This window comes from Homo sapiens, chromosome 16 (assembly GCF_000001405.40).
Source record: "Homo sapiens chromosome 16, GRCh38.p14 Primary Assembly".
Classification (NCBI taxonomy): domain Eukaryota; kingdom Metazoa; phylum Chordata; class Mammalia; order Primates; family Hominidae; genus Homo; species Homo sapiens.
Genome location: NC_000016.10, coordinates 63,499,624 through 63,525,519, shown reverse-complemented (window position 1 = coordinate 63,525,519; position 25,896 = coordinate 63,499,624). Strand labels below are relative to the sequence as shown.

The 25,896-nt window shown below is 34.0% G+C and overlaps 1 long non-coding RNA gene across 3 annotated transcripts in view, besides 1 other annotated feature; it reads left to right on the top strand.

The window, feature by feature from the left end:
* The window catches only part of LOC105371308 (uncharacterized), a 512,336-nt gene that overhangs the window by 92,527 nt on the left and 393,913 nt on the right, over positions 1–25,896 (top strand). The gene's annotated exons all lie outside the window — the stretch shown is intronic.
* Positions 11,437–11,584: a silencer, noted in NCBI's record as "fragment chr16:63547840-63547987 (GRCh37/hg19 assembly coordinates)". NCBI's record gives its function as "represses an EF-1alpha promoter that drives an FKBP-Casp9 reporter gene in an ReSE screen in K562 erythroleukemia cells {active_cell/tissue: K562}" and the evidence as "EXISTENCE:reporter gene assay evidence [ECO:0000049][PMID:32094911]".

Genomic DNA, 25,896 nt, shown 5'->3' with positions numbered 1-25,896 from the left:
CCAACTGGGAGGTTGCCGAGACCAGCTCGGTCAGGGAGACCCTAACCTAGCGGCGCTAGAGGAATTAAAGACACACACAGAGAAATATAGAGGTGTTAAGTGGGAAACCAGGGGTCTCACAGCCTTCAGAGCTGAGAGCCCCAAACAGAGATTAACTCACGTATTTATTAACAGCAAGCCAATCATTAGCATTGTTTCTATAGATATTAGATTAACTAAAAGTATCCCTTATGGGAAACGAAGGGATGGGCTGAAATAAACGAATGGGTTGGGCTAGTTATCTGCAGTAGGAGCATGTCCTTAAGGCACAGATTGCTCATGCTGTTGTTTGTGGTTTAAGAACGCCTTTAAGCAGTTTTTCTCCCTGGGTGGGCCAGGTGTTCCTTGCCCGCATTCCGTAAACCCACAACCTTCCAGCGTGGATGTTATGGCTATCATGAACATGTCACAGTGCTGCAGAGATTTTGTTTATGGCCAGTTTTGGGGCCAGTTTAAGGCCAGATTTTGGGGGGTCTATTCCCAACAGGAGGTGAGGGGTGCCTTGTTACTGCTGGCATGGGGGTGCGGGGCTGGAAGTCTAGGCTGACCATATGTCTCTTCTGATACCATGTGAGAAGTGGAGATGAAAGCTACCATGTGATAGCGATGAAAGTTCTGGCTCACTTTTCTGATGCTACTCTGGTGCAGGTGTTGGGAAACGTCATTCCAGCGTGGTAAATGAGGTGGAAGTCTAGATTTATCACTCCAACTCTGCTAGTGTTAATGAGAGTGGGGCCACAGTTTTGTTGTGGTGTTTGACTAAAGTAGATTATTTTCTAAAATGTTTCTTTCTTGCTAGAAGTTCCTTTTCTGGCCTTTCAGCTAAAGATAGCAGACTTTAATTGGGGATTTTTGTCTGTAGCCGTTGGCATTTCTGGGATGGTGGCTTCTTTAGCTCTGGGTCTGGGATAAATAAGGTGAAAAGGAAACCCAAGGAATTCACTACTGTGGCATTCCTTAGGCCCAGGGTTCCCCAGCACTCTTCTCTTCTTCTCTCCTTCACAATGTTTTTATATGTGTCTTATATATAATGCCCTAGGTTTTTAGTTGTACTTAGCAGAAGAAATAGAACAAAGTATATCTATTCATCTGTTCTGTGTTTCGAGAAAGGAAATTCTCAAGAACACACATTTTCATAAAGTCTAGACTCCTTTAGCAGCTCTTGTGAGATAAAGCAAGAAAGATATCAGTGTTAGAATACATAAAGTGAAGAAAAAGAGGGTGTTTGAAGGATTTCAAACACAGCAAACATTTTGAGGACCAAATATTAGTTTATAAATATGTGATACTGATTGCAAACCAAGAGTAGCTTTACTTGATAACGTTAACCATAGCTTTGTAAACTTCATAATGTGAGCCTTGGCTTTGTTTGCTTGTTTATTTATCCTTAATCACTTCAGTTCTGATACTTCATATATTTCTAATTATTACATATTGATTATTTTGAAAACACCTACAGTTAGAACAAAAGGCATTATAGGACTGTAGTATTTTCAGGATTGATGTTACAGAAAACAAGGAGAAAGAAAATAGGGAACAATAAAATAATAATTTCACCCTTTTAGAGAGAAACATGTTGTTGATATGCTGAATTACAACACATTCTATGTATGTACTGCAATACACAATGGCAGAAATGCAACTGTAGTTGTTATTAAACATCAAATATTTTACTGTGATGCAATCACATTATGTTATAGAGGAGTGAATGGCATTTTCAGTTTTTCTTGGGCACTCGGTGCAAATCCAGTTATATTAAAAGCCAGAGTTGGAAAATCAATGTGGCACTTTGCTGGTTGATTCCAACGTCAGTGAGAATTGTTAAGACAACAGTCAAGGATCTAACAGTTGTACTTAATGAGATCCAATGAGACTCAATTTGATCTGTGGAACGCTTTTGGTCCATGCTGACACTCTAAGGTCCATATCAACAAGTGAAAAAGAAAAACAATTAAACAATTCAGAATAGTAGAAAAAGTCTGCTTTGTACCATAGGTAAACTTGTTTAGGTAATGTAGAAGAACATGTTGTCTAAAATATGCAGAATGATATTTCATTACCACATGCTCTTGTGGTATCTGGCCAGAATGGAGATTTATTTCTCCTCTCTTTTGTTACTGCCTTAATCACAGAATGGAGATTTATTTCTCCTCTCTTCTGTTACTGCCTTAATCAATATATTGTAACAGAAACGACTTTGTATAGGATTCATAGCTATGTTATTAAAACAGCATACCTTTGGGAGGCCGAGGCGGGCGGATCATGAGGTCAGGAGATTGAGACCATCCTAACACGGTGAAACCCCGTCTCTACTAAAAATACAAAAAAGTTAGCTGGGCGTGGTGGTGGGCAACTGTAGTCCCAGCTACTCAGGAGGCTGAGGCAGGAGAATGACGTGAACAAGGGAGGTGGAGCTTGTGGAGTGTGAATGCAATTAGGAGTCAAAGTACACCTGTGACATGGGAAAATTATTTGATCTGCTGAACACTGGTATTCTGCTAAAAAAAGAATATCTATTGTTATGGTTGTTATACAAATTAAATAACACGATTGCCATAAATTGCTTATTAGAGGGCTGTGGATATTCTGAACATGAAATAAAGCTTGATATCCTTTCTTCTTTGTATATTTAAACATAACTGTGATGTTTGAAGTACAGTAGTCTGCCCTTATCCATGGCTTTGCTTTCTGTAGTTTTTTACCTGTGGTCAACCATGATCTGAAAATACTAAATGAAATATTCCAGAAATAAGCCATTCCTGAGGTTTAAATTGCCCGTTCTTCTAAGTAGCCTGATGAAATCTTGCGCCATCCCGCTCCTTCCTGCCTGGGATACAAATCATCTCTTTGCCCACTGTATCCACGCTGTAGAGGCCCCCAGAACATTAGACTTAGGAGGCTTCTTGGTTATCAGATCAGCTGTTGCACCATCACAGTGCTTGGGTTCAAGTACTCTCCACTATTTCAGCAATCCCCTAGGGGTCTTTGAATGGTTCCCCTGTGGGAAAGGGCAAATCATGTAATTTAGATAGTCTGATAATAGAGAATGTGAACTTCATTGAAAATAGGTAGATAGGTTATGTTAAGAAACTTTGAATTCAGGCTTCAGGGAGCAAAACAGTGCTCTTTTACTTGTTTTAATGCTGCTGATAGAGAAAAAAAGACAATAAAGAGAACCCTTTAAGACAATCCTTTAAGGTAAATGTTATGGCAAATCAGAAAGGGTAGAGAGAAAAAAAATGAAATTTTTGGGAGAAGAAAGGATGACAGTAAAAAGTCGAAATGGATTCATCTAAGTCTAAATTTGGAGGACATACTTAGGTCTCAGAATTGATGCCTGGAGAAAACAATGCACTGAAAATCACATTAAACAACAACAAGAGAAAGAGAAAGGACAAATTAGCTAATTCTAGGGTCTCGGGGTTAAAAGGTTCTGATAGGTTTATCTGAAATCTGGCACTTGAACGTCTATGAATACATAGATTCCCATGTATTTAAGTGGTATCCCAAACCACTGAGACATCTTTTTCCATTTCTGGTTGTTTTAAGTGTTTGCTTTCCATTATATCAGTATGTTTTCCTGAATACATAGGGCATTTACTCTGTTTTAGAGTCACAAAGATAGCATGTTATTCTTTCCCATGAAACACTGTGATGGTTTAAGAAAATCGCGATCTTCATTAAGGGTTTTCTTTTTCTTAGGAAAATCAAAATGAAAAAGTACTTTCAATGACTGCGTGCAGGGCTTGCTTCGAAATCTTCTCACATCCTGATATCCTTCCTTCGGACATGCTCTGTTTGCACTAAGATAATTGAGTAACACGGAATATATATGTGATTTACAAAGTATAAACAACAGAAATTATGACTGTGACTTTACAAATGTATTCAATATAGATTGTATTTGTTATTTATAGAGTGTATAGGTCTGATTTTGTGACTTCAGAAATACAAATTGTGATGACTGTCAGGGTATAATCTTGGCATTCTATTAAATGACTATTACTTGAATTTAGAAATGAATTTCAGTGTACTAAAGAAAAGTTGGGGGAAGGGTTTTATATTATAACATGTCTTGAAAAAACACTTCTCCCTCATTTGCTAATTGATAAAAACATTTTTAAAAACAGTGATCACAAGTTCACATGTTGGAGATATTGCTTTGATTATGGTTTCTTTAAAACTCTCGTGATTATTTTGTATTAACAGTGAGTAAGAAACTCAATTGGTCACGGACAATCGATTATTATTTGAGAGATGATTATTTGATAAGCATTACTGCTACATTCTAGAATTTCACAGTCCCTGAGAAACTGATTGATGTAAATGATGACTGCAGTTGTGGCTAAGAAAGAATTCTAATATAAAAAGATATTTCATGTGATATTGACCCATTTCCCCCTTTCAATGTAGAGTTTTTTCAGGAATAGAGGTTTCCCTATATAACATGTCAGAAAAGACAAACATCCCAAGCTAAATTATTGTAAAATATAATAAAGATATTATTATGATGTTGCAAAAAAGTAATTATCTAAGGCCTTTGACTAAAGAATGGGAAAGCTGAAATTTGTGAGACACATCTGGTATAAAGCCCATTTCCTGCTATACTATTTTATTTTTAAAACACTTTTGTTTCATTATTGTAGCAGAACCAACAATAGAAATGCATTTGAGTTGTTTTGTTTTTCAATGTAAAAGGAAGAAAATTATGCTTTTTTTTTTTTTTTGGCTATCCGAATGCCAGATTTCAGATAAACTAAAAGTGAAAAATACGTACTAAAACAAAAAGAAATGCAAAAGGCTAAGAGTTTATTAAATAATGCTTAGTAAGTTCCAGGGTGTTTTAGTCTCATGGTTGAAAGCGCCCATTTTTATAGATTAGCAACAGAAGCTGAGGATCAGAACTAAATATATATTTTAAATGCTATGGATTTACTTTATTCCCATGACTGAAAGGATATGCAGTAACTATGGAAAAGAAAAATAAATGCATTGATTCCAGATATTCCTGACTTATACATCTTCACTTAATAGCTTCACTTATTAGAATTCTTCACTTATTAGCTTATATGAGAGCCTGAATTATCTTTTTTTTTTTTTTTTTTTTTTGAGATGGAGTTTCTCTTTTTTGGGCAGGCTGGAGTGCAATGCCATGATCTTGGCTCACTGCAACTTCCTCCCCCCAGGTTGAAGTGATTCTCCTGCCTCAGCCTCCTGAGTACCTGGGATTACAGGTATGCACCATCATGCCCAGCTAATTTTGTATTTTAATAGAGACAGGGTTTCACTATGTTGGCCAGGCTTGTCTCGAACTCCTGACCTCAAGTGATCTGCCCGCCTCTGCCTCCCAAAAGTGATGGGATTACAGGCATGAGCCACCACGCCCAGCCGGGAATTCTCATTTTTTATGAGTATTACAGGTGAAATATCCAGACACCTAACAGGGCAGAAGACTCATTTTTATCAAAGAAATAAAAATAAATTTTTGTTTTTTTGGAAATACTGTGTAAAGATTCATTGTAAAATTTTCCTCAGCATGTTAACAGAGAAGGTGTTCACTCTCCTCTGTGCATTTTTTTTCCAGTTTGAATTGACAAGGAGCCAAGTTTCTCTTGAAGGCACAGAGTAATCTATATTGAAAGATTCTTATTGGTTGAAAAAGGTGCGGAGGGCAGAGTTATCTCGCTTTCATGGTGATCCAATCTACTTTGTTGGCACACTTAGATTCTGATCTACAGATGCTGTTTAGAACTGAAACCAAGCATACTCTTTACATGCTATTTTCAAAATTAGAAAAAAAGAACCTGAGTTAATATTTCTATAGTGTTGAGCCTATTTATGTGGGAGCAGTCAACTTCACTAGCATTTAATGCTGGTCAATATATTAGAATTCCTTAGCCTTGTTCACTTATTATTTTTTCTTTTCTTTTTTTTCCTTTTATTTTACAAAAAGCATTCTGTGAACATCTGATAAGTGCTAGGTTTTGTGTACCTATACATAAATCAGGAACAATACAAAAGTGTAACTATTTTGAGACAACTCCCAGCATGGTTGTAGGATAACCTTCATGAATCTGGTCCTCTGTAAAACTGTAACTGTTGACAATTATTAAAAATAAACACATAAAGTGTATGAAATCTATCTTGGGGGCTTGCAGCAAATGAAGGAACATTCCTTCAACAGAACCTACTAAATTCCAATGAGAAGAGTGAGGGTTAGTGGAACATGACCCATGACTCACTGCTTCACTCTTCTTTACCCCAGATTAACATTATAGAAACTCCAGGTTATGTGGGCAAAAAAAATGAGGCTTCCTCCTTCTTAGATCTCAAGTAGGCACTATAGCATCTCATCAGGAGGAATAGGCCACCAGAATTTTTTATTCCCACCCCTCAGTTTCATATTGCAGAGAATAAGCTTCAGATGAATGAACCCAAGAGATCAAGGGCTCTGTTCTTACATCTATCCCACACTCATATAATGGAGGTCCTATCCAACAAATAGCAGATCATCATTTCTGTACTATAATGTAAAATTATGTTAGTTTCTATAAAAAAGTATACTAGAATCTCAAAAGTGTATCTGAATTGAAAGAATAAATAATCAGAAATGCAGAGACATATTGATACAGATTATGGAATCCAAAAGACAATGAGGGGAAAAAACTAAAGAAGAATAATCAGAGCTTTAGAGAAATTTAGGACACCATTAATTAAGTGTGTCAGTGTATGTACAATGAGAGTACCAGAAGAGAAAGAAAAGAGCAGAAAAATACTCAAAGATACAATGGCTGAAAATGTTTCAAATTTTGGGAAAAACCTGAATCTACAAATCTAAAAACCCCATTGAACTCTAAGTAAGATAAACACAAAGAAATTTACATCTAAAAACATCACAGTAAAAATAATAAAAAACAAAAACTATGAAAAATATCTTGAAATTAGAAAAAGAAAACAATTCATATGTACAAAAGGACTCCAATAAAATCAAGAACCAACTTCTCATTAGGCAAAATAAAGGGTAAAAAACAGTTATATGACATACTCAAAATGCTACAAGAGAAGAAAAACATCAGCCAAAACCCAGCAAAACTATATTTTGAAATTAAGATGAAATAAGAGCAATTCATTGTAAATAAAAACTGAGGCAATGTGTTGCCAGCAGACTTGTAAAACATATTAAAGAAAACTTTTCAGGATGAAAGCAAATAAAAAAGACAGTAATTTAAATTCATTAGGAAATGAACCAAACAACACTGGCGTACCAGTAAAGGTACTGTACATAATATTTACCTGCCTTTATTTTCTTAACTGATTTAAAAATCTCTTGTCGGGAAAAATAATTATAAAATATTATATGGTGTATATATTACATAGAGATATATTTTACAATAATAGCATAAAGAAGATGGGTGGAAGCAAAGATGTGTAATTGTAAGCATGTGGCATCAGGTGGTAAATATAATAAATAAGAATAATAAAATAAAAAAGAATAGATGAAGAGAAACAGAAATGGTAAATAAAAGCATAATTTAATAAACTCTAAAAGCACATAAACTATGTCAATAATTACCTGAAATAAAAATTGAATAAATTGTTCAATCCAAAAAAAAATTGTCAGCCTTGATAAAAAAATAAAATTCTGCTCATGTTGTCTACTGGAGAAACCCATTAGATTTAAAAACACAAAAACGAAAAAGTTACCATATGACACAGCAATTTCATTCCTATCTATATAAGCTAAAGAATTAAAAATATATGTCAACATCACAACTTATACATAAATATTTATAACAGCATCATTTATAATAACCAAACAGAAATAATTTAAGTGGTAATCTATTGATGAATGGATGAATAAAATGTGACATATCCCAATGATGGAATATTATTAGTCAGCAACAAAAGAATTGAGATAGTAGTATATGCTACAAAATGGATGTGCCTGGAAAACCCTATGCTAAGTGAAAGAGGCCAAGCACAAAAGACCGCATATTGCACCTTTTATATAAAATGTCCACACCAGTCTCTGGAGATGGAAAGGATAATAATGGTTCCTGATGGCTGGAAATATAGGGAATTATGCAGTGGGACTGCTCAAGTGTACAGGTTTTTTTTTTTTAAGAGTAATAAAAATATTCTAAAATTGGATGTAATAATGTCTGCTCAACTGTGATAATATACTAAAAAAATACCCCACTGAATTGTATCCCTTAAATGGTTGAATTTTATGATATATAAATTTGATTTAATTAGGTCAGGATATCTCTATTGATCTATAATTACTATTCATTATTTACTATTCATTTAAATAAATTTATTTAGATAATAGTATCTATTACTATTATAAATACAATGTTTATATATTTATTATATTTATAATATGGCTACATTGATTTAAAGTGTGGTAAAATATATGTTATAATTTATGAATACATTATTTCCACATATAATTTATATATTATATATTTAATTTTATATATTATACTATAAATAAATTATGTATATAATTTATGTATACATAATTTTAATATCTGTCATTATTTATCTTTATTATAAAAGATACCTGTCTTTATGGAGCTCTAAATCTAATAGTGGTATAAGGAAAATAACAAGGCTACAAAAAAAATCTGTCTGCAAGTATTTTCTTTCCAACCTCTCCATTGGTTTTTCATTTTATTTTGCGTTGCGTTTCATGTTGCTTTATAGCAGGCATGTCTGTGGATTCTGTCTTTGCTCTCTTGTTTTACCTCATTGAAATATTTATAATGTAGAGCTTTAACAGTGTTGAACATTTCTACTGTCAATTTGCATTTTCTTCCGTGGACTTGAGCTCCAATGGCATTCGAAGAGACTTGAATCTGCTCTACTAATTACTGTCTAAAGATGATTGAGAGACTTAAAGCCAGACATAGTACATTAAAGAAAAGCCAGACTTTCTTTAAACCCATTTGCATGCTCGCTTTCTCTCTCTCTCTGTCTTTCTTTCTGTCATCTCTCAGATCCCTTTAGGCATCTGCTTATTTCAAACATTGGATTTAAAGTGCTAATGTGTCTTGATTTCTTTCTCAATCAGTCAATTCTTGGTCCATTAAGCAAAGACTAAAATAAAAATGAGAAAACTTAATGGACACCTGAAAAAACTTAGGAATAACCCTCACTATTCACCAGTAGCTGGGTAAAGATAATTACATAATATTAATCAGAAAATTATGTATACCTTTTCACTTGAAAAGCCCTCGATTTTTTAGTAAAAAGCAAATATCTATGTTTATTAATTAAGCTAGTGTTACTAGTAGCTGTGTTTTTTTGTAGAATTTATTATATACTAGTCTCTGTTTTACTTGCTTTGGATTAACTCATTTTAAAGCTAGTTTTTCTGATAAGGCAACAGGGATTGATTTATGAAAGTGGAGAGAATAGAATCTTTTTTTAGTGATTTTAAAAGAAGCAGTCAAATATGTTGGTACTTGTCTTAGTGAGAGATGGAATCCTTCTCACCTCCTTCCCCTTGAAACCATGTGGGCTCAGGCTGTTTCAACCAAGAGCCTGTAATACAAGCAATTGTACATTAGGTCAGGATCAGAACCCAGCTTTCATTTTTCTCTCAGGTAGTGTCTGTCCTCAGTGATCATAACTGTTATGTAAGCTGTCTGACTGTTCTGAGCTCACCATGTTGCAAGGAAGCTCAAATTATTCCACATGCAAAAAAACAAAAAACAAACAAAAAAAAGCACATTGGTTCTAAGACTACATTAAGAGAAAAAGATGCCCAGCTCTCTCAGACCTGCTCTTCTAGCTCCAACCACCATCTGACTGTAATTACATGTAAGATATAAAGTCAGAACCACCAATCAAAGCCTATCTTGAATTATTCTACCACAGTATTTGTGGGATAGAATAGTTTTTGTTCATTTTAGCCAATAAATTTTGAGATAATTTGTTATTTATCTATTGCTACTCTGAATACTAAGTTCTGTACTTTCTAGTACACCCACTTTATTTACAAAACCTTAAATCTTGATAAAGCCTTTAAATAATACTTACAATTTGCTACTTTACTTGAGATTATTCCAAACAATTTCCAAGATATTTAGAGTCGATTTTAAATATCAGAGTACAGCAGTTCAGAGTCTTGAAGGATGCCAAGTTCCAAAATGCTTACAACTTAGTAACAACTGGGGCTCAGGAGATAGACAAGTCAAGGACTACAAATGTGGGCATACCAGAATACAGGGTCTTTTTAAGATTTCACTAGTTGCAGTTTGTATCATTTATTAACAATGCTATGTTCTTGCCTTAAAATGCATGATCCTATGTAATTTCATTTTAAAAAGAAACCTTACAGACAGTAGTACCTGTCACTCAGGCAAGATATAATAAGCATAATTGCCCCTACATTTGAAAGGTAAGAGACTTGGTGCTGAAAGAAGTTCTTCATTTTACTCATGATACAGGTCAACCCAGTGGCAAAGGCACAATTCAAGTTCACATCTACAGTTATCGTTATGACACAAGTGCTTCTAGATGGGGGAGTAAATAATAAAGTCTCTGTTTCTCTCTTTCTCTCTCCCTCTGTCTCTCTTTAGTGTTTTTCATCCAACAATACCTATGGCTTGACAACTGAGTCCATTTCTCAGATCTGAATGAACCTTACTCCTCAAGGAGTAACACTCCTCCGTACCCAGAAGCAAATACATTGATGTGATGGGTCAGGCACAAAGTTTGGAAAACTTTATTGTCCTAAGGAGATATCAAACAACAGGTCAGTTTAGGTTAAATGAGGTCCATATTTTGTTTAAAAAGATTTTTCTGTGATGATATTAAATATAAATAGGGCCTGAATTTCCTCTGCCAACTCTTCTGTGACATTCACAAACAGATCTACTTCTGAGCTCTAGTAAAACCCTTCCTTCTTTTCCCTCCAAATCTTTGGAGTGATAGTGCCTCCTTGTTTGCTAAATTCTGAGTTGTCTCATATCTCTTCACTAACTTGTTGTTTCATTCATTAGCTATGTAAACAATTTCCTGTAACAAATATCTTTTTAAAATATATACTAGTTTCTTATTTTTTGAAAGGCAGTATAGCTATTACTATTCCCATTTTACAAATTGAGAAAAAAAGAACAGGAGGAGGTAAAGGAAACAGTTTTCCTAAGGTCACGACAAAAGTTATCAAGAGAATCGGGTTTATACAGTCATGTCCCACCTAAGAATATTTTGGTGAACAAAGGACTTTATGTGTAATGGTGGTCCCATAAGATTATAATGGAGCTGAGAAATTCTTATCATTTAGTGATGTCAGAGTGGTCGTAATGGCATAGCACAATCAGTGCATTACTCGTGTTTGTGGTGATGCTCACGTAAGCACACCAACTGCGCTGCCAGTCATACAAAAGTCTAACACTTAAAATTATGTATAGTATATAATACTTGATCATGATAATAAATGACTTCGTAACTGATTTATGTATGTACTATAGTATGATTTTGTTTTTTTTTTTTTTGAGACGGAGTCTCGCTCTGTCGCCCAGGCTGGAGTGCAGTGGCGTGATCTCGGCTCACTGCAAGCACTGCCTCCCTGGTCCACGCCATTCTCCTGCGTCAGCCTCCCAAGTAGCTGGGATTACAGGCGCCCGCCACCTCGCCTAGCTAATTTTTTGTATTTTTAATAGAGACGGGGTTTCACCGTGTTAGCCAGGATGGTCTTGATCTCCTGACCTCGTGATCCGCCTGCCTCGGCCTCCCAAAGTGCTGGGATTACAGGCATGAGCCACTGCACCCGGCCTATAGTATGATTTTTATTGTTATTTTAGAATGACCTCCTTCTACTTATAAAAATAAACGTTAACAATGAAAACAGCCTCAGGCATGTCCTTCAGGATGTATTTCAGAAGAAGGCACTATTATCATAGGAAATAAGAGCTCCATGTGTGTTTCTATCACTGATAACCTTCCAGTTGGAAAGATGTGGAGATGAGCCAGTGATACTGAGGACCCTGACCCTGTGTAGGCTTAGGCTAATGTTTGTGTTACTGTTTTAGTTTTTAACAAGAGTTTACAAGCTAACAAATAAAATTTAAAAATTAAAAATATTAGAAAACTTATAGAATAATGACATAAAGAAAAAATATTTGGTGCAGCTGTCCAATGTGTTTGTATTTTAAGTCTAAAGGTTATTATAAAAATAGTTTAAAATTAAAAAAATAAGAAATTAGAAAGTACAAAATTTGCAATAATATGAGGTTAACTTATTATTAAAGAAAGAAAAATATTTTTTAAATGAATGTGATGTAGCCTAAGTGTGCAGTGATTCTGAAGTCTACAGTAGAGTACAGGAGTGTCCTCGACCTTCACATTCACTCACCACTCACTCACTGACTCACCCAGAGCCACTTCTAGTCCTTCAAGCTTCATTCATAAGTGTCCTATACAAGTGTAGCACTTTTTATCTTTTATGTCATGTTTTTATTGTAACTTTTTACATTTATATATGTTTAGATATACAAATACTTACCATTGTGTTATAATTGTCATAGTATTTAGTACAGTAACATGCTGTACATCTTTATAGCCTAACAATAGACTATACCATATAGCCTAGGTGTATATGTAACTGTAGGTATGCATATATATGTATGAATTTAATTTTAATAATATTAATTTTGTCCCTGAAATATGGAGAGTGAATGAGAGTGTGTGTTAAATTTTGAGGACAAAAAAGGCTTCTTCTCAACATATAAGAATTCCATCAAATATTTTTTTTCCTAAGCTGCTGTAAATGAAGTTATTTAATTTTGGGCTTTGTCTTTTGACTATATGACTATTCAATTAATTATATTCAATTATTATATATATACACATAGAATTATTTCTATTCAATTAATTACATTCATTATTCATTATTCATATATTCATAATAGAATATAATATTGAATAGTAATAATTCTATTTTACAGTGACAATCATATAAATACAGTTATCCTCTTAAAACTGTTTTTCATGATTGTTATTCTTTATTAAGTTGTCTCATTTTTCCAAATAAAACTGTTTCACTGATTTCTCTATGATCAATTATTTTAAAATTTATCCTAGTATGAATATATTTTGTGATAAACTTTTTAAGAAAAATCTAACAACTCAATTTGCTTTTTTATGAAGCTGCCTATACATAGTCCAAAGGGAAATAGATTAGAATTATGTCAGTGAGGATGATGGAGTAAGTATCTCCAAATACTTGTTACTTCATAAAAGAAAGACAACACAGATTAAAATGATCAAAATCAATTCTTTAGAACGCTTTAACCATTTTTTTTGCGACAATCCAAGAAGTGTTTATTAAAAAACAAATACAAAAACAAAACAGCTGAATCTTGGTAGGGGTAATGAGCTTTGTAGTATTCTGTCTTATTTCCATCCCACTCTATCGCCTCCATTGTAGCCTTGGAAACCAGTAGGCCCATGATCACAATGAACGCCAGCAGCCAAGCAGACATTGGCAGGGATAAAACAGGACTGAAGCTTCCCAAATGCTCCACTCCCAGAGAATTGTCATTATTTGATCACTCTGGATGCTTCCTAGGAATTCCCACTCACAGGGAGGATTTCTTGTTTTATTTGACCTTAGTCCTCAGTCAAGGCAAACAGTCATTTCCCTGGAGGGAATCTGTTGAATCCAAAGAGAGATAATGGTTCTGCACCACCTCTTTCTGAGGTAGTGATAACAGCGATAAAAAGAGGCTGACTAAAATACCCGAAAGAGAAGGCTTGGGAATGAAATGTTCATAGCAGGCTTTGGATGAAGCTTCAAATGCAGGTATAGGGTTGTGTGCACATCAAGGAGTTTTAGCATAAAACAGAAAAACCTGAGAATATCCAAGGCTCTCAGCTCTGGTTTACTTTGAGAAAGTAGAAAGTAAAGAATAAGACAGAATTTTATATTTTCTGACTGAGCCTTGAAAGTAAACCTCAAGACACCTAGAACCCTCTGCAAATGCAGGAAGACTTATTGATCAAAGGCCTTTGAGGACATTACTGTCCAACCATTAGCTGACCACTAAGCTAACTTAGCAGAAACTTTAGCAGGTATACACTACAAAGGATAGAGGCGTCATCGAATTAATTCATGAAATTCACTAAATAAGCAAACAGTAATACCGACAGCAATATAAAGTAACAACAGATCAAAAGCTTGGAAGGGAAGAAAATATGATTTTCAAAGTTGCCACATTACATATTTTTAAATAGCTACTTTTTAACAAAAAGTCATTAGATATGCAAAGAAACAAGAAAGTAAGTCTCACTCACAGAGAGAAACAATGCAGTCAACAGAAACTGCATCTCAGGAGGCCCAAACAGTAGATTCAAAGTAAAAATATTGTTGTTAATATTTTAAATTTTATTAATATTCCTAATAAAAAGTTATTTAGAACAGTTATTTGAAATATGTTCAAACAACTACATATAATCATGTCTAAATATAAAACATAAAAATTTAGAAAGAAACAATATCAACAAAGAGATAAAATTTGAAAACAAATAAAAATTGTGGAGTCCAAAAGTACAATAACTGAAATAAAATATTCGCTAGTAGGGGTCTATAGCAGATGTGATCTGGCAGACGAAATAATTAGTAAACTAAAAATGTGTTGATTATCCACTTAACGGAAGAACAGGAAAAAAAAGAAAAATGAACAGTCTCAGATCTCAGAAAAAAAAGAAAGAAAAATAAAAGAAAGAAAAATGAACAGAGCTTAAGACCAAAGACCTCAGATAATATATCATCAGACACAAAAATATATGCATAATGGGAATTTTAGAAGGAGAAGAGATAGGAAATGGGAAAAATTAATATTTGTAGAAATAATGGAATAAATTTTCTGAACTTGAAAGAAAACATTAATCTATAATTAATAGTTAATCTATAATTAATGGATTAATAGATTAATCTATTAATCCAATCATTCATGAAGCTCAATATAAACTTCAAGTCAGATGAACTCAAAGAGATCAACAACAAACAAAGATTGTTGCTAGTACACTTGCCCTATAAGAAATATTCAAAGGAATCTTTCAGGCTTAAGTGAAGTAATGACATCGGGAAATATGAGAGAAAATATAAATGTATTTTAAAAAACACCTTACTGAGGTGTGATTGACATTTAAATAGTGAAACATATTTAGTACATACATCTCGATGAGTTTGGGGATAAGGATACACCTGTGAAACCACCACCACCCCTAAAGAGGGTGTGTCTATCACCTCTCAAAGTTTCTTCCCACCTCCTTTATTATTATCATCGGGGTTTTATGGGTATGTGTTTATTTTTGGTAGGAACACTTTATATAAGATACAGCCTCTTAGCAAATTTCAAGTATACAATGAAGTATTGTTAGCTATAGACATTATACTTTATAATAGATATCCAGAATATATTTATCTTGCGTAAGAGAATCTATGTGTCTTTTAACCATCACTTCTAATTTTTCCCTCTCCCTAGTTCCTGTCAACCACTATTCTATTCCCTGCATCTGAGTTTCACTATTTACTTGCCACATATGAGTAAGATCATACAGTGTTTGTCTTTCTGTCTCTGGAGTATTTCACTTAACAATGCCTTCCAGGTTCGTCCATGTTGTCACAAATGGCAGAATTTCCTTTTTATTAAAGGCTAAATAATATTCCATGATATATATACATAATGGAATTACATATATAATTATAATTATAAAACTGGAATTATATATTATAATATATATTATAATTATATATAACGGGATTATATGTAATTTATAAAAATACATTATTTTTTGATATAAAATACTATTCTTATATATTATAATTTTCATTATATATTCCATTATATATAATAATTCCATTATATATAATTATAATATATAATGAAATATTATTTGACTTACATAAAAAGGAAATCCTTTTTATTTATGTCATCCCATCAATGACTTAGGGTGTTTACATATCTGGCTAGTGTGAAAAATGTTTAAATAAATAAGGGAGTTCCAATATATCTTCAATATATTTATTTCAGTTTACTTGGATATACACCCAGAAGTCATATTCCTACACCACATGAAAGTTCTATTTTTAATTTTTTGAGGAACTTTAAACAGTTTTCCATATGGCTCTATCAATTTACATTTACACTATTGGTGTATAATCATTCCCTTTCTTCAACATCCTTGCTAAACACTTGTTAAATTTATTACTTTTTTAATAATAGCCATCCTAACAAGTGTGAGGTGATATTCATTGTGGCTTTGACTTGTATTTCCGTGATGATTAGTGAGTTAAGCAGCTTTTCATATACCTGTTGGACATTAGTGTATCTTCTTTGGGAAAATATCTATTCAGGTTCTTTGCCCGTTTTTATTTGAATAATTTGGGTTTTGTTTGTTTGATATTCAGTTGTATGAGTTTCTTGTATATTGTGGTTGTTACCTCTTATCAGATATATAATTTGAAAATATTTTCTGCCATTCCATAGGTTGCCTTTTAATTTGGGTTGTTTCCTTTATTGTATAGAACCTTTATAGTTTAATGTAATCCCATTTGTCAGTTTTTGCTTTTGTTGCTTGTGCTTTTGATTTTAAAAAACGTATTGCCAAGACCAAGGACAAGGAGACTTTTTTTCAATGTTTTCTTTTTTTTTTTTTTTTTGAGACGGAGTCTCATTCTGTCGCCCAGGCTGGAGTGCAGTGGTGCGATCTCGGCTCACTGCAAGCTCCGCCTCCTGGGTTCATGCCATTCTCCTGCCTCAGCCTCCCGAGTAGCTGGGACTACAGGCGCCCGCCACTAGGCCCAGCTAAGTTTTTGTATTTTTTAGTAGAGACGGGGTTTCACTGTGTTAGCCAGAATGGTCTCGATCTCCTGACCTCGTGATCCACCTGCCTTGGCCTCCTAGAGTGCTGGGATTACAGGCGTGAGCCACCGCACCTGGCCTCAGTGTTTTCTTCTAGAAGTTTTACAACTTTAGATCTTACATTTAGATCTTTAATCCACTTTGTGTTGATTTTTGTGCACTATGTAAGTGTCCAACTTTATTATTTTTCATGTGGATATCCAGTTCTCCCAATACCAGTTATTAAAGAGATCAGCCTTTCTCCGTTGTGTATTCTGGGCACTTTGGTGGAAATATACTTGGCTTTATATATGTGGGTTTATTTTTGGGATCTATATGGTGTTTTATTGGTCTGTTTTATGCCATTACCATACTGTTTTCATTACTATCACTAGCTAATATAATTTGATATTAGAAAGCATGATGTCTCCAGGCTTGTTCTCTTTGCTCCAGATTAGTTTGGCTATACAGGGTCTTTTGTAGTTCCAGAAGAATTTTAGTAATTTTTTTTCAATTTAGATTAAAAATGTCATTGAAATTTTGATAGGAATTGCATTAAATTAACCATTATACTAGATATTAAATGATTTAGCACCAATATTGAAGCATTAGAGTTTTCTGAATTTGATAATGAGTTTAACTTTACCAGTGAGTTTTATACTTTCATATGTTTTTATGTTACTAATCAGTAGCCTTTAATTTCAGCTTGAAGAACTTCCATTAGCATTTTCTCTAAGGCAGGCCTAGTGGTGATGAAGTTTGTCAGCCTTTGCTTTTCTGGGAAAGACTTTATCTCTCCTGCACTTCTAAAGGACAGCTTTTCTAGGTTAAGTATTCTTAGCAGATTTCTTTTGATTTTTAATATTTGTTTGTGTTTTCTTTCAGCACTTTGAATAGCTCACTCTGAATACCTCACCTTCAATTCCAATCTGTCGTGGTCCACAAGTTTTTCTGTTGAGATATCCATATGGAGCCTTAGGATAGTTCCTTTATGTGTGACAAGCACTTTTCTTTTGCTTTGTCTGTAGCTTTGACAAATTGATTATATTGTGTCTTGGTGAAGACCTCTCCATGCTGAAATTATTTATACTTCTTTGGCTTTTATGGGTCTAAATATTTATTTTCATCTCCAGATTTGAATAATTTCACTTACTTTTTAAAATAAGCTTGTCCTCTTTCTCATTCTCTGTTTTTTTTTTGGAACTTTCATAATTCATATATTGGTTTGGGGGATGGTATCCAATAAGTCTTGTGGGATTTCTTCATACATTTATATTATTTTTTCTTTGTGTATCTCTAAATATGTAATTTCAAATGAATTATATTTGAATTCACAGATTCCTTTCTTTGTGTAATTGAGACTGCTTTTTGAAGCACTCTGTTAAATCTTTCAGCTTAAGCTTTGTATTCCGTAGCTCCAGAATTTATGTTTGGTTCTTTTCTGTAGTTGTTATCTCTTTATTTAACTTCTCATTTGTCCTTGTGTTGTTTTCCTAGTTTAATTTAATTAACAATCTGTTTTCTCTTGTAGCTCACTGAGCTTCTTCAAGATGAATATTTTAAATTTTTGTTAAGCAATTTACAGACTACCATTTCTTTGGTGTCAGCCACTGGAACTTTATGTTCTTCCTTTAGTGGTGTCATATTCTCTTGACTCTTTATGTTTACTAAAGACTTGTATTGACATATTCATATCTGAAGAAGCAGTCACCTTCTCCAGTTTTTTTCTGACTGTGATCACGGTGAGGATCTTTTCTTTCTTTCTTTTTTTTTTTTTTCTTTTTTTGAGACAGGGTCTCCTTCTCTCACCCAGGATGGAGTACAGTGACGCAATCATGGCTCACTGCAGCCTCCACCTCCCAGGCTCAAGTGATCCTCCCACCTCAGCCTTCCCAGTAGCACCAGCATACCCAGCTACTTTTTTTTTTGTATTCTTTGTAGAGACAGAATTTCACCATGTTGCTCAGACTGGTCTCAAACTCATAAGCTCAAGCAATCCTCCTGCCTCAGTATCCAAAAGTGCTGAGATTACAGGTATGAGCCACCATGCCTGGCCATGAAGGTCCTTTTCAAGTAAAACAAACTTTGCTATGAGCCCAGCTTGAGATTCTGGTGATTTCACAGTCCTTTACTATGGTTGTGCTTGACTACTCCTCTTGTTTCCTCTTAGGGGAACAAGTTTTAGAATTATGTATCTTCTCTTGATCCTGTAAAGCCAGCCCTGGTGCTGAGAGCCTCCCATTATTTTCACTAAGGAAGTACTTTGAAGTGCTTAATGTTACGCATCTTGTCCCACACCAGGAGAATAGAGCCACCTGTTAAGATTCACAACTGCTGGTGAGACATGGGTGCTTTCACGTGGAACTCATATGAGCTATGCACCAAGACATGGACTTGATGTTCATAGAGAGAGCCTGTGGGGTGCTGGGAGAATGTGTCAGCTGTCGAGGGAACCCTCAGACTCATCATCCTGCAGGTTTCATGGGTTGGCCTCTTGGCAAAGTCTGCAAGCAGGTTAGCAGGACCCATGGCTAGGTGTCTGGAACCATACACTGGTTTTTGTGTGCTCCATTTTATTCTCCCTACTTCTAGCTGTCCTCAGATGATTCCACTCTGTGACCCCTCAGTGTTCTGGATGGGGTGAGACAGAAGTGAGCCTCCTGACAACATCCTTCAAGGCTGGGAAAGGCAGGTGCTCACTGCTCTGCCACTTTCCTTCATGAGAGAAATTATGGGCTGAGTTCCTTTCTTGGCTGTGTCAATTGCATGGGTGGGGCAGGACAATGCAGGTAAAGTGAAACTGTGCTTACCCTCTTGTTCCACAGGGGTGCTGGTACCTCAACTAGACTGGAAGATTCTCATAAAATTATTCTTATTCATTGGTGATTGCCAAAATAGTTGTTTATGTGTGGGGATGAGAACTGAAAGCTGATATTCCACCATCTTGCTGGTGTTACTCTCCAGCATGAATGCATTTTTTATTGTAACTCTATTTTATCATAATCAGACTTAAAAGACAACTGTATAAATAAGTAATTATTTGTCTGTATTGATGGGCACATCACTTCAGTTTTCTAATACAATTTGATATCAGGAGGCATGATGTCTTTAGCTTTTTTTGTTTGTTCAAGATTACATTGATTGTTCAGGGTCTTTGGGGTTTTCATATGAATGTTAGGATTTTTTTCTATTTTTTTTGTGAAAAAAATGCCATTGGAATTCCTACATCTTTGTTTAATATATACTTATGTTATTTGTGTGACAGTAATGGTAAAAGAGGCAGGGAGAATGAATGGAGCTATACAGTAGAATTGTACACTATTGAAATTGAGTTGGTATTAATCCAAATAAGATTGCTAATAACTAAGATGTTAGTTATAATTCCTAGAAAGTCCACTAAGAGAAAATTTCAAAATGATTGTAAAAAAAGAATAATTAAATAATACTTTAGAAATACTGATATTACACAAGAGAAGGCAGTCAGGAGGGATTGAGGACAAAACTAAATAAGACATACAGAAAACAAATAGCAAAATGGTAGCAATTATTGTTTCTTTATCACTAATTAATTTAAAGGAAAATGGATTAAATTTTCAGGTCAAAATTGGAGTTGGCAGAATAGATCTAAAAACTTAGTAGAACTATATTCCTTTACAGAGACTTTAAATTCAAAGAAACAAATTGATTTAAAGTAAAAAAATGCAAATAAGTATACCATATAGACAGTAACTAAAGGTGCATTAGGGTAGCTACACTAATGTCAGACTAATGGACTTTAAGGTAGAATTTTTTACAGGAAACAAAGTAGTACATTTTGTAATGACAAAAGTAATAATCCATCAAGAAGATCTAACAATTATAAACCTGTATGCACGTAACAACAAATATTCTAAATTCATAAAACAAAAAACTGACATAATAGAAGCAACAATAGGCATTTCCTCTCTAATAATAGAGGCTTTAACATTTTTCTTTTAATAATGTATTCAGTGATTAGACAGATAATAAGCAAGGAAATAGATTTTAAAAGCAATAACAAGCAACTAGAACAAATATATTTCTATATAGCACTCATGTAAAAGTATAAGTATACACTTAATGTTTTTCAAGAAAATATAAATTAGTAACCACAGAAAATTTGGGCAATTCACAAATCGGTGGAAATTAAACAAACAATAAACACAATATAAATAACCAATTGGTTAAAGATGGACTAGTAAGATAATTATAAAATCATTTAAGATAAATGGAAAAAGAACATACACAAAACATACAAAGTTTATGAGGTGCCACAAAATAAGTACTCAGAAATTTATAGCTGTAAACTCCTACACTAAAAAATAAACATATCAAAATCAGTAACCTTAAGCATCTACATTGAATACTAGAAAAGAAAAGCAAACTAAACCAAAGCAAACAAAATGAAGGAAATAAAGAGGCAAGGTTAAGCGGAGATAGTCAAGGCCAGATTCCACTTAAAATGGTAGATATTCGACCTCATAGCTACATTTCTTTTTCAACCTGTCAATCATGATGAAATGCAGACCTGCCAGTTCCTTTAACTATTTAATTTGTTTAAGTAAATATACTTCACAAGAACACACAAGCTGAAGTCATTCTAAGGAAGGGGACATTTGACAATTACCAAACTACCTGCTTGCTTTTTGGCGCACTGGTTCCTGAACACGGCTGCATATTATAATCACCTGAAAAATTAATACTAATACCTTAGGCCAAGTAGAGATAAAGGTGTGTATTTAGGATGGCGCTTAGCATAAGAAATATTTTCTGTCATTGCATGAGTTAAACGTTGACCATGTATTATACCTAGTGTGCTTTAAAATTAGTGTGAATTCATTACTATTTAGATAAAATTTTGTTTCTTTCATTTTCCATTTGATACATGAGTGCAACAAAAGGAGCTATATTGGCCTTTAGTATTTTCCTTGTTCCCGAGGATGGGCTAGAAACACTATAAGTGAAACTCCTCAAATAAGATATTGAAGTACTAAAGTAGATGCAAATGAATATATACATTTGGAAGTCTAATTAGTTGTTAATACTTTGGGATGAGGCTTAGCCTAGTGACTGGAGAAGGCATTACAGGGCTTCTGTGGTACTAATAATGTCTTATTTCGTGATCTGAGTAGTGAGTCTCAGCTGTGTTCATTTTGTGATATTCATCAAGCAGTATACTAATTTGTTCAAATTTTCTGAATGTTTGGTATATTGCAATAAGCAAGCTAATTTTAAAATTCATTTTTAAAAATCAGCACCACATTTTAAATGTCTGCTTTTTCACAAGTCTTTTTCACTTACAAAAGACTGGCAAATGTTCTAATATCTTAAATCTCTGATTATTACTTTTTTACTCTGTACTACTACCAAATGCTAAATTTGAAAGTATGCAATGCATTGGTTTTGCTCTGACACTAACGCAAAGAGTGATGTCAATAACTTGGCAGATTTTTTTTTTAAATCCGTTAAAAATACAAAAAAAGCACACAGCTGTTGACATTAAACTACTGGTGTAAGAATAAATATATGTGAGGGAGAAAAAAAGTCAATGGCTTAACTGAAGATGTTCTCTCTACAATCTCAATGTTTGTAAACCTCTCTTGGCCAAAGGAACAGAAAGCGATCTTCTTTGGCTATTGTGTCTTTTGCTTACTGTACGGGACATCAAAATGCAAGGGATGTAATTTTTGCTCTTGATGGTCTTCTCTATTGCTCTCTAGTTTGTAACCCTGAACTTGTAAGAAGCATATATATGCTTTCATTTTCTTTGTTTTCTTCTCTTCCTGTTTTGGCTCCAGAGAGTTTTGCAGTAAAGAAAATCTCTTAATTTCACATTCTAGTACTAAAATGAGATGAAATCAATCTTACTGACATGACAAGTATTTTTTTGTTTGCCCATTCTAGATGGTTTTTATGGCTCACTGAAAAAATTGGTTTACCTAAATAAGGTAATAGTAATATCGGAATCTGTGCATTTAAAAATATTTCTTAGAGAATTGGGAATATTCTTCCCTGATTTTCTAGGATCATTCTTTCCCACCATTGTAGTTGTCTGCCCAGGACCTTTTTCTTTCTTCATGCTCAGTTGTTTAGAAATTTCTCAGGCCCCATGGATTCAACCTCCATTCATGTGACTTAAGTGCAACCTCAAAGTGTTAGTTTCATGACATAATATCAAAAGAATAATAGTATATATGGGTACCCTATGTATATACTCTGGCCCCTGCTTGGCAGCTCCTCAAATTCCAGTCATTCAGAATATTAGATTGTTAAATGTTTATACTATTTACCATCATCTTAGTTTTCATGCATATTTATGTTTTTTCTCTTTTGTCATGTCACACCACCTTCTTATAATATAAATACTATAATATAAAAATCTTGAGGACAAGGGCTGTATTATTATCCCTTGGTGTCTAGTATTGTGCCTGACCATAGGACACATACACACATAAAATTCTTGAAGAGTAAAACACACGTCCTCAACTTATGCATTATTTTTTGTTTCCCCATCTATGATGCTATTGGCATTGTCATAGTCTCAGAGCCAAGTAAACTCCTCACTATTGTTTATTCCCCACATCCCAGCTTAAATGTGGGTATATGAGTGTACAGACAGGGCAATACTCTTCCGTTTTTCTCTGTCAGTCTCCTAAACCTGCATAATCCAAGAAAGTCTTTATGTAGAGAATATCAGTAATCAGGTTTGAGGGACCCTCCATAGTATACGTTAAATCAATACTTGTAGAATTTACATTATGGAGTAAGTGAATGATATATTCAAAATGTAACTTACCTTTGCCCTTCTAAAGCAACAGTAAACCCCAAAAAACAAAATTCTCTAATTTATAGAATTTTTCAAAAATAGCTTATGATCTGTTGTTAAAATTTCAAGATTGTGCATTTTTCTCACAACTAGACCATATGGACAAACTAAAATGTTAAATGTGGGCCTGGTTTTTAAGCTAAAAGTTATACTGATTCATTTTAGACAAGTAATCTTCTTATGCAAAATATATTTCACATAGTATGTTATATTTGTATTAACTGTTAATACAAATAAAATACAGCAATCAACAATTTTTCTAAGGAAAGAGGGGGATAGCAAAATAAGATATTTTGGTAAAAAAGGAAATCAATGATTATTCAAGCCGATTGTTAAAACATGGATCAGAGATCAGATTTATTTTATAGTATGTCCCAATTTAAAGAAATTCATTAGAAAATTCTAGCAAACCATTTCAACATATGTCTTTTTGGAAAAACCATGTTGCTGAAGAATGAGTGTCATTGCAAAAGAGCATTCAATGTTAATCTGCGAGTTATAGAGTTTATAATTCCTTGGAGTAATATTTGGATCCACAATGCTGTTTGCTTCTCTCAAAAACCATTAGACAATTCAATAGGCAGAGAAAAAGCCAATTCTGTTTCTTGTTCATTAGCATGCCTGAACTTATGTACATTTGATTTTATTCTGGCAATTAAAATATGAATCAGACACATCGTCACCATGGGTTTCTCCATGGGAGACATATACCTTATTCCCTGCTTTATTAAAAGCCATTTACTATACCATCACCTTCAGCTAAAATTTCATTTTGCATTTATTCAGGCATAAAATGCATCAAACTGCCTGATACATGGCAGTAAAACATTTTGTATACTGTCAGTTTCAACTTGTTGAACAAGTATTTCACATGGAAAAAAGTACCTACAATTGGCAGGTTAGTTCCTAGAGTAGAAAAATCAGTACCTAAAGTAACTTTATCTATCTAATTTTCCCAGACTCTTCCAGATACGCCTGAGATCCTTAGTCTAAAATGATGTCTCACTTGTTTGCAAGTAGCTGGGGTGGCCAAATGTTTTTACTATAATAATGGATCAGTATTACCTACTTTAGCTTCCTTTTCAGGAAAGAGGATGGCCCAGGTCCTTGAAATCTGGCCTTTGGTGATTTGGGATTTACAACTTTAGAGAATATGGAAATTACCATCTGCTATAGCTATCTGAATCATTGCCACATTGATCAAAGCAATACGCAATAATGCATAGAACAACTCATGGTTTTAAATCTTCATGTTTTCCATTCAGCCATTCATTCACTCAACAACCATTTACTGATGTAATGGGTATTAAAGTTAGAATGTTAAATAAAATCATTTTCTTATATTTCTGTTTATCTTTTTTTTGTAGGAGAGATAAGCCTGTAAATCAGAGAGCAGAATAACAAATATTTGAATAAGTATAAAATTATTGTGGTAATAAAGTGAAAAGAGGAAAAAAATATAGCCTTGCCTTTAGTTTGAGTTTTCCCAAAAACATGACACTAAGTTAAGGCCTTCAGGACAGGTACTTCAACTGAGAGGTGATCCCAGAAGTTACAAGTGAGGGAGTGGGTAAAATGAGAAAGAAAGGAAGAAAGGGAATAAAATAAAGGGTGTGTTAGTTTTACTTCTGTAAGCAAATGAAGCTCAAACAGTAAGGAGCTGTTGAGAAATGGTGTAGTGCATGCTCATAATCACAGGATCAGAGGACAAGAAGTTGGGCCATCTATACTCCAACTCTCATTCTTTAGTGGCAGGGGCTTGCACCATGGGTGTTAATTTCTCATATTTAAAAATAGAGAACTGCTTTCAATTTAGCGACCCTCAGGAGTATTGGAGAACATCCTTGGACAGAGAAGCAGAGATAGTCAGGCACTTGAGTTTGGAAGCTATCAGCCTGTTGAAAACACATTACAGTTACAGGCAAATTGTATGAACCAGTGTCTATGAACTACACTATTTACAGTATTTTCCATGCCCTTCCCTATGTTAGTATTTAATAATCATGACAATTCGAATGTCAGTATTAATTTTCTTAGTGAATACATATGAAACCAACATGTTTTTTTTGAATCATGCTTTAATTTACTATTTTAGACAATACAAATTTTGAATGGAAGCTTCTTTGAGAACTTTGCTATTGGTCCATGAGCATA